Source organism: Homo sapiens, chromosome 7 (genome assembly GCF_000001405.40).
Source record: "Homo sapiens chromosome 7, GRCh38.p14 Primary Assembly".
NCBI classification, from domain to species: Eukaryota; Metazoa; Chordata; class Mammalia; order Primates; family Hominidae; genus Homo; species Homo sapiens.
This window is the reverse complement of record NC_000007.14, coordinates 50,976,481-50,986,299: the sequence shown is the minus strand read 5'-3', so window position 1 is coordinate 50,986,299 and position 9,819 is coordinate 50,976,481.

Genomic DNA, 9,819 nt, shown 5'->3' with positions numbered 1-9,819 from the left:
TTTCCCATCTTTCACGGACCACTATCCTTCATTGCTTAATGCCCAGTGTCTTGCAAACCAATGTTTCATACCTTTTGCCTTGTGTTTGGTAGCTTTATAAAGGAAGGTAAATCTAGTTCCTGTTTTTCCATCTTGAAATTAAATGCAAGTCTCAGACAATATTAATTAACAAAAAGCCACAACAAGGTAACCAAGGATTTGAAGGGAAAAATTAAAAGTTTGAAACCTGAACAATCCAAGTGTAAGAGGTTCCCAAATTCAATGCCATCATAATGACCACTAGGTTATGCGGCCTGGAGAAGGAGAATCAGGAGAAGCACCAAGAATGGAGGCAGCTGTCAGAAGAAGGATTCGATTTAGAGCTCGAGATTTCATCTTTCCTTGTGCCTCCCTTCTGATCCCTTTCTGTTCCACTTCACCCTGGCTCCAGCCTATGGGCAGCTACAATCATGTCACAAAAAGCCCAGTGCTCTCCTCTCTCTTCCCAACTCTCATCTAAGTAAATGTGCCCCTTTCCCATTCTTAAACAGGCTTGTGTGGTGATTTACTTATTTAATGAAGATGATGAGCTGAAACGTGCAAAGCAAGTCATGGAGCACAATAGCTTATGACGGTCTGCCCTCTAGGAAACTCTGCTGCCTTATTGAGGGCCAAAGCCCCCGGCTCACAACAGGATGATAATGTTACCGGAAAGGGGTCCCAGTTCAGACCCCAAGAGAAGGTTCTTGAACTGCGTGCAAGAAACAATTTAGGGCTAGTCCATAGAGTAAAGTGAAAGCAAGTTTATTAGGAAAGTAAAGGAATGAAAGAATGGCTATTCCATAGGCAGAGCAGTGGCATGGGCTGCTGGACTGAGTATACTCATAGTTGTTTCTTGATTATATGCTAAACAGGGGTGCATTATTCATGAGTTTTCCAAGAAAGGGGTAGGTAATTCTCGGAACTGAGGGTTCCTCCCCTTTTTAGACCATATAGGGTAACTTCCTGACATTTCCATGGCATCTGTGAACTATCATGGCATGAGTGGGAGTGTCTTTCAGCATGTGAATGCATTATAATTAGCATATAATAAACAGTGAGGACGACCAGAAGTCACTTTCCTCACCATCTTGGTCTTGGTGGGTTTTGGCCGGCTTCTTTGCTGCAACGTGTTTTATCAGCAAGGTCTTCATGACCTGCATCTTTTGCCAACTTCCTATCTCATCCTGTTACTTAGAATGCCTAACCTCCTGGGAATGCAGCCCAGCAGATCTCAGTCTTATTTTACCCAGCCCCTATTCAAGATGGAGTCACTCTGGTTCAAATACCTCTGACAATAATGATGGGATAGTTAAGTAGGGACTGGCTGGTGGTGGCAAGTCTGCATAAACAACTAGTTATTTCTCTTCTGGAGAAGACCAGCTCCTGCATCAGGACTTTTCAGAGCAGGACCCAAGGAGCCCAGTTTTCTGCCTTCATGCCCCTTGCTCAGCCAGGCCTCAAAGGCTGGAATGAATATGAGCAGACACTTGACAATAATGAAGATGAAGGAGGAACAGTAGAGGCCCAGTTGGCCCTGCAGTCGGAATTAAAAATCTGGATGTCAGTGTTGACACTGTCAAAAGGTCAACTCACCCCCTCTGCATCTCCATTTCCACACCAGTAAAATGAAGATGATAACAATTGCCCACAACTGTGAGCTATAAATGAATGATGGTAGCATTAGCCTTACTCTGGTGGCGGGATGGTTCCTATAGATTTAGTGGTCATACTAGCCTATGGGTAGGAAGGTGAGAAGACAACAGGATTCTAGGGTTACCTCTGTAGGTACCTAAATGGATATCATTTCAGGGATAAGTTGACCCTTTTCATTTGGGAAAATCTGCGAATTTAACAAGGATCTGCTTATGAAGTCACTTGGGGTATGCAGAATCATCACCGTGAACCCCATTACACTAACACTAATGCCACCATAGAATAGAGAGGGTTGTTCAGAATGGCCACAGTATTGTCAAAAAGAAACCTCCAGTTACACCAGGAGATGGCTACCATCAGCGATGTTCAAATCTTGCCTTCATTTTTAATAAAAACCAAACTATCTCATGCCTCTTATTGTCAATCAGTGTTCTCAGATAATTAAGACTCTATTAATTCATGGCAAAAAGTGTAATTAAGAGGCTTAATTATGTCTGTGTGGAGTAAGGGGACTCAGCAGGGCATAAGGCAGAGGCTCTCAAATTTTAATTGCATTAGCATCACCCGGGGAGCTTGTTAAAAATGCAAATTCCTTGGCTCTTTGCCAAGGTATTCTGATTCAGTGGGTCTGGGTGGGATTCAAGAATGTGCATATTTCTTCTGCATGTAAATTGACAGGTAATTCTAGTGCATTTGTGTGGGGACACAACTTTGAAAAACACTGGTCTAATAAAAAGAAAAACAATATTTGAAGGCAGAAAAGATCTGTGTGTTAGAGATTCAGCGATGCAGTTCGGTCAGTGTTTATAAGAGGGATCCAGAAGATTTCCCGGAGTAAGAATCAAAATGTCTTTGGGAATGCAATACACATTTTAATGTGCCTTGTACACCTCCTCCCCAAAGCCACAGTCTATTGAACTCTTACCATGAACCCAACACAAAGTGCTAAGTGGCCCCTTAATCCTTTAATACTTTCACATGTGAGATCAATATTATTACTCCTGTTGTACAAAAGAGGAAACTAGAGAGGACAAATGGCTTTCACGCGGTCACCTAGATCTTCCATTACTAAGGAGAAAAGTATTAATATTAGTTAGGGTTCCCCAGAAAAACAGAGCCAATAGGACATGTATGTGTATATGTGTGTGTGTGTGTGTGTGTGTGTGTGTGTGTGTGTGTGTATATATACGGATATCAACATAAAGAGGTTTATTATAAGGAATATGTTCATGTTATTGCAGAAATAAGAAGTACAGACCCAGAAGAGCCAATGGTACCATTCCAGGTCAGGTTTGAGTCTGAAGGCAGGAGAAGACTGATGCCCCAGTGAGGACAGTCAGGCAGAGAGGGAAGGTTCTGTCCACTCGGCCGTTTATTCTTTTTTTTTTTTTTTTTGAGACAGAGTCTCGCTTTGTCACCCAGGCTGGATTGCAGTGGTGCAATCTTGGCTCACTGCAACCTCCGCCTCCCGGGTTCAAGCAATTCTCCTGCCTCAGCCTCCCAAGTAGCTGGGACTACAGGTGCTGTTTATTCGATTCAGGCCCTAAATGGACAGGATGAGCCCCATACGGTGGGGAGGGCCATCTGCTTTACTCAGTTGGCCATTTCAGATGTTAATCCAGAACTGCCCTCACAGAGATGCCCAGAAATAATGTTTCAGCAAACATCTGGGCACCTTGTGACTCAGTCAACTTGACAGCTACCCATCCACCAGCACAGTCCCTGCACGGGGTCTTTGTTATTCAGCATCTCCACACTGAGGGCAGCAGAAGCAAGGGCAGGCTCCCTATTTTCTGGTCTCTGCATTATTACCTACTGCTTGTGGATGGCAGGCTGTGACAGAGCAGGATGCCTTTGGAGGGGACAGGCATTGTGCCATGGGAATGGAAGTCCCGTCCTCACCACAGGCCACATCCTATGAGCTGGGCTTGGGGAGGCACACCCTTCCCACCACTCCTCATGCTCTGTGAGGCAGATGTACCATGTCCCCAGGGTGTTGCTCTGGCAACTCCAGAGGCTGTGACCCCTGCAGGAGTTCCTGGTTCAGGTAACAGCTTTGGGGAAGAGGAGAGGGAGCAGGAACAACACATTCAGAAATTCAGTCCATCCTCTACTCCTGGGGAGAAAATAGATTCCAGGACTGTTCAGAGATCAATTTGCTATAAAAACAGGACAAAGAAGGTGGTAGACCAGCAGGTGACCTCTCTGATCCCCTGCTACTGTTGCTGAAAACATTACACACTCCACGGGATGCAGTCATGAAGTCCCAGCATTTCATGCCCACAAAAACGCAGAGTGGCGAGCATTCTTACCTGCCTGTCTTTTACAGATGAGGAAACTGAGGCGGGGGGAAAGTAAATGGTGAAGACAGAACGTACATTTGCACCTGCCCCCCCCTAAATTGTATCCTCTCTTATTGAAGCTGAACACCGAAAAGTCCCAAGAATCACTAGAAGAGAGGTCTGGGCCGAGTTCAAATGCCTGGGATGGAACAGGGGAATGTCACTTTCAGAATTCAGCAACTTTAAGATTTAAGTTCATAGAAAATCTGCAGAGCAATGGGGCTATTGGTTGGACCTTAAAGTCATACTGTCAAACAGGCAGAGGATGGCGACACTTTACAGTGAGTGTTTGGACTCCACAGCTGTGAAGACAGGGGTGATGGTGCCCTCATGGGGACGCTCTCCTGGGTAGGGTAGCAGAGAGGGAGGCAGCGTGTGGGGAGATGCAGAGGCCAGAGCAGGGGAAAGCCGGAGCAAACACAAGCCTGAAAGCCTGGCCCCAGTATGGATCCCCACCATGAAGTCAACACCATGCTCAGGTCTCAGAGTTGGGTCAGGAATGCGGGCGTAGCTGAAGGTGCCTGAACATTGAAGTTGCACACTGAGAGGACGCAGGAGAATTAGGGAAAGCAGATCAAAGCCGACACAACCTTGTAAGCTGTTGAGGAAATCTATATGGCCTACGACTGCAAGTTTTAATAGTGAAAAATCAGTTTTCTAGGGTTTACAGAAAGTGCAAATTAAAACAACAGTGAGGGAATAGAATCACCTTCAAAGTTACTTGAGGCAAAAAATTATATTGTTGAAGGTGTTGGGAGATGAGTACTGTCTCATGTAGCTACTGGTGAAAATATAAATTATAACAATGCTTCTGTCACACAATTTGAAAATATTGTTCAGCCCTAAAAAGGGTGTATTTTTGATTTAGTGTTTATTTTCAAAATTTAGCACAAGTGAAGAGAAAAGAGCATGAAGATGTACATACAAAGAAATGTTCAATCATAGGGAATTGGTATAATAAATTATGGTTTAGTTATACAAAAGAGAACTCTGTAGCCATTGAAAATGGTGTTGTTGAAATGATTATTTAAATGGAAAGGTATTTAAAAATATTAAGTGAAAAGGAACAATTAGGAAACCTCATATATTATTTTACAATTCTATCTATCTGAGAAAAATGTTTCCCCAGTAAATTTGTTTGAACGAATTAACAATAGCTAAAAATGGCAATCACATCTGCTACAGTTTTAGGTCTTCAACAGAATAGTGATATCTGTTGACAACACACAGCCTGGCAGAATGTGTGCTTGATGCCAGGAGCTCTTTCTTGGTCATGGAAAGGTCAATGTGAGGAGAGCCCTGTGGTTGTGCTCCTACAAATTCCAGGAGGCGACATAGGATTTGATTCTGGACACAGACTCATCCACACTCCTAAGTCTTTCCCGCCCTTGACTTTTACCTTACGTTACATCTGACAATGAGTGGGTTGAACATGGGGCACTGGTGACACTAATTGTATGTGGCCAATTCACCAAATCAGAACTTCTGGCTCATGAGGGACCCATGTGAATGGGACATTTCAGCAGCACCAACCACAGCCATAGAGATTTTAGTCACCAGTCAACCCACTGAAAGCAATCCATTTCAAAAAAACCCAACTTGGCTGAATTTTCCTTAAAACCTGGCTACACTGTAATTAAACAGAATGCTGTATTTCATTATGGCAATGGGCCACCAAAACAATCCTGTAGGTAAAATCCCATAAATATTTAAACATACGTACAGTAGGAGAAATGAGTAATTCATTCTGTCAGCTGCGTAACATTTAATTCCCTTTCTAATCCCTATTTGGATCAGCCTTTGCGACTACTAATTACATAGTACTGAAGAAAATATGAACATAATCAAGGAGTAATATCACAATCCACTGCTTTTTGAATTTCTCTTTCTGTCCAAAGAACATGTTTATTACTCTGTGGGATACTGGAATAAAGTACAGAGTACCTGGATTATTATAATGTGCAAAGAGCAAGGGTGAGTATGTATGCAAGTGTCACTGTTGTGCCTGGATTCCTTTTGAAAGCTCTTTGATCTCAGCAGGGTTTTGAACCAAAAGACTTCAAAAAGCCTCATCAGCATCAGCGAACACAAACAGCAGTTGTGGAGGTGGACAGACCCTTGTTATTTATTTATTTTTTAACTGGAAGTGTGCAGAAATTTTAGTCAAATAATATTTATCATATACTGGTCAAAGTTACTGATTTCAAGACAAAGTGGAAATGGGTTTCAGATTTTTAATGTTATCTTTAAATTATAGTATTTTCTTCTGTGTCTTGTTGGAGTGCTAAGAACAAGCATGGGAGCCCTTTGATTTTCCACATGCTTTTAGGTAGCTTAAGGAATGCCGTGGGATGATAGTATTTATCATAGATAAAACTATTAAGTCTGAAAGCCCAGGCAATTGAAAACTGAAAACTTCTCTGTGTGTTTGCCAATGTCAAGGCACATATCCATTCCATTTGCTTGCAATTTAAAGACTTAGCTGTATTGCTAATATACATTTCTATTAAGAATTAAAGACACATGTACTTGTAAGTTCATCACAGCACTATTCACAATAGCAAAGACATGGAATCAGCCTAGGTGCCCATCAACAGTGGATTGGATAAAGACAATGTGGTGCATATACACCGTGGAATACCATGCAGCCATAAAAAAGAACAAAGTCCTGTCCTTTGCAGCAACATAGATACAACTGGAGCCCACTATCCTAAGCAAATTAATGCAGAAACAGATACCACATGTTCTCACGAGTGGGAGCTAAATATTGGGTACTCATAGACATTAAGATGGGAACAACAGACATTGGGGACTATTAGAGCAGGGAGGTAGAGAAGGGGGCAAGGGTTGAAAAACTACCTATCGGGTACTATGCTCACTAACTGGGTGATGGGTTCTATCACACCACAAACCTCAACATCATGCAATATGCTCTCGTAACAAACCTGTGCATGCACCCTCTGAATCTAAAATAAAAGCTGAAAAAAAAGAATATATTTGTATCCCATTTTTGTTTGATTATTCTTTCATTTAGTTTTCTATGGTTTAAAAACAGATATTGCAATGTTCTTTCGTTCTTCCTTGCCTTATATCTTTTCCTCTTTCTGCTAACAGCACTCTTTTTTCCTCTAGGAAACCACAAGCCTCCTACTTCAAATGGTCCTGGTCAGACTGCTAATACCCTGCTTTATCCTCTATCTTGCTCTATGCTTTCACCACAGAAGCCTTCAAGTGCCCCAGCTGGTCATTTAGTGAACCACATCCCTGGACAGGCTGCAGTTGAGCCCTGATTATCATGGTTACTCATGAGTTTCTCTGTTCATTGAGCTCAATAATTAGAAAAACAGTTGGCAAGCTTTTTCTGTAAAGCGCCAAATAGTAACTATTTTAGTTTTGTGGGCCATATGGTCTGTTGTGATGACTCAATGCTGCCATTGTACCAAGAAAGCCACAGACAATATGTAAACATATGGGCACAGCTGAGCTCCCATAAAACTTTATTGACAAATGCAGGCAGTGGACTGGGTTTGGCTCACAGGCCATAATTTGCCAACCCTGGTTTGAGGGTATTACTTTGAAAACTATGTTCTGAAGAGATTCCTCAAGTAAAAGAAGGAGTTGGGGGTGGTATCTCCCACTCCAACTTACTTTACCCTTGGGGAATCAGAGCAGCCTCTCTTTCCTCTGTTTATGTATTGATATCCATTTTCAATCTTCAATTTGTTTAAAATGATATTGTTTAGCTCATAAAAGTTTTGAAAGTCAATGACAAGATGATACATGACATGTGTTACTAATCATTTAACTTTGGTTCAGGGTTCTGAGAGGGAAGGAGTAACATTTAGAGAGTTTTCTGTGGTCAGGCACAGTGTGTTGGAGACTATCACACATGACATCTCATGTATTTCTGATAGAACAGCTTATAGATGAGTGAGCTAGAATATCCAGCATGTACACACATCACAGCATGACTTGTCTTCATCAACTTTGTTGCAACTTTTGTTAACATGATCTAAAGGAATCATTTGATTTTTTTTTAACTGGATATAGTAGGGAAATTGATATATTAGGATGGCAAAGCAGGACAAATATTAATGAAATATATATTTTATGGGCCTACTGTTGAAAAAGAAAGTAGAAGAAAGCCATCTTATTGGAAAAATATGGAGATAATTATTTGTACTTTTTTATTTTTATTTTTTTTGAGACAGGGTCTCACACGCTCTTGCTCAGGCTGGAGGGCAGTGGCATGATCATGGCTCACTGCAATCTCTGTCTCCCAGGCTCAAGCTATAATCCTGCCTCAGCCTCCTGAGTCCAGCTAATTTTTTTAATCTTTTTGCAGAGACGGAGTTTCTCCATGTTGCTCAGGCTGGTCTTGAACTCCTAGACTTAAGCAATCCACCTGCCTCCACCTCTCAAAGTACTGGGGTTACAGGTGTGAGCCACTGTGCCCAGCCTGTTTGTACTTTTAAAAAAGGCTTTCATAGGAAGAAATCGGAATTCTTCTGCACTGCTAGAGTGAATGTAAAATGGCACAGCCACTATGGAAAACAGCCACTATGGAAAACAGCATGATAGTTCCTTAAAAAATTAAAAATAGAATTACCATATGATCCAGCCATTTCACTTCTGGGTATATCTCCAAAGGAACTGAAAACAGAATCTTGAACAGATATTTGTACACCCATGTTCATAGCAACATTATTCACAATAGCCAAAAAGTGGAAGCAATTCAAGTGTCCATCTGTGAATGAGTGGATAAACAAAATGTGGTATAAACATATCATGTAATATTGTTCAACCTTAGAAAGGAAAGAAATTCTGCCACATTCTACAACATGGATAAACCTTGAAGACATTGTGTTAAATGAAAGAAGCCAGTCACAAATACTGAATGATTCCCCACATGGGAAGTATTCTATAGTAATTAAATACATTGTGAAAGGAAAATAAATCTTGGGGCCCCAAAATCACTGAGAAAAATGAAAACGTCAAGCTGGGAACTGCTTAGGGCAAACCTGCTTCCCATTCTATTCAAAGTCACCCCTCTGTTCACTGAACAAATGCATATCTAATTGCCTCCTTTGGACAGGCTAATCAGAAACTCAGAAGAATGCTGCTATTTGTTTCTTATCTACTTATGACCTGGAAGCCCCCTCCCCGCTTTGAGTTGTCCCACTTTTCCGGACGGAACCAATGCTTATCTTACATATGCTGACTGATGTCTCATGTCTCCCTAAAATGTACAAAACCAAACTGTGCTCTGATCACCTTGGGCACATGTTGTCAGGACCTCCTGAGGTTGTGTCATGGGTGCGTGTCCTCAATCTTGGGAAAATAAACTTTCTAAATTAACTGAGACCTGTCTCAGATTTTCAGGGTTCACAAAATAAAGACAGAAAGTGTAATGGTGGTTTCCAGAGGCTCGGGGATGGGAGACTAAGGAGTTGCTTTTGTTTTTTTTTTTGTTGTTGTGTTGTTGTTGTTTTGAGAGGGAGTCTCACTCTGTTGCCCAGGCTGGAGTGCAGTGGCGCCATCTCAGCTCACTGCAACCTCCATTTCCCAGGTTCAAGCTATTCTCCTGCCTCAGCCTACTGAGTAGCTGGGACTACAGGCGCACACCATGCCTGGCTAATTTTTGTATTTTTAGTAGAGATGGGTTTCATTATGTTGGCCAGGCTGGTCTTGAATTCCTGACCTCAAGCGATCCACCCACCTCGGCCCCTCAAAGTGCTGGGATTACAGGTGTGAGCCACCAAGCCTGGCCAGGAGTTGTTTTTAATGGAAATGGAGTTTCCAC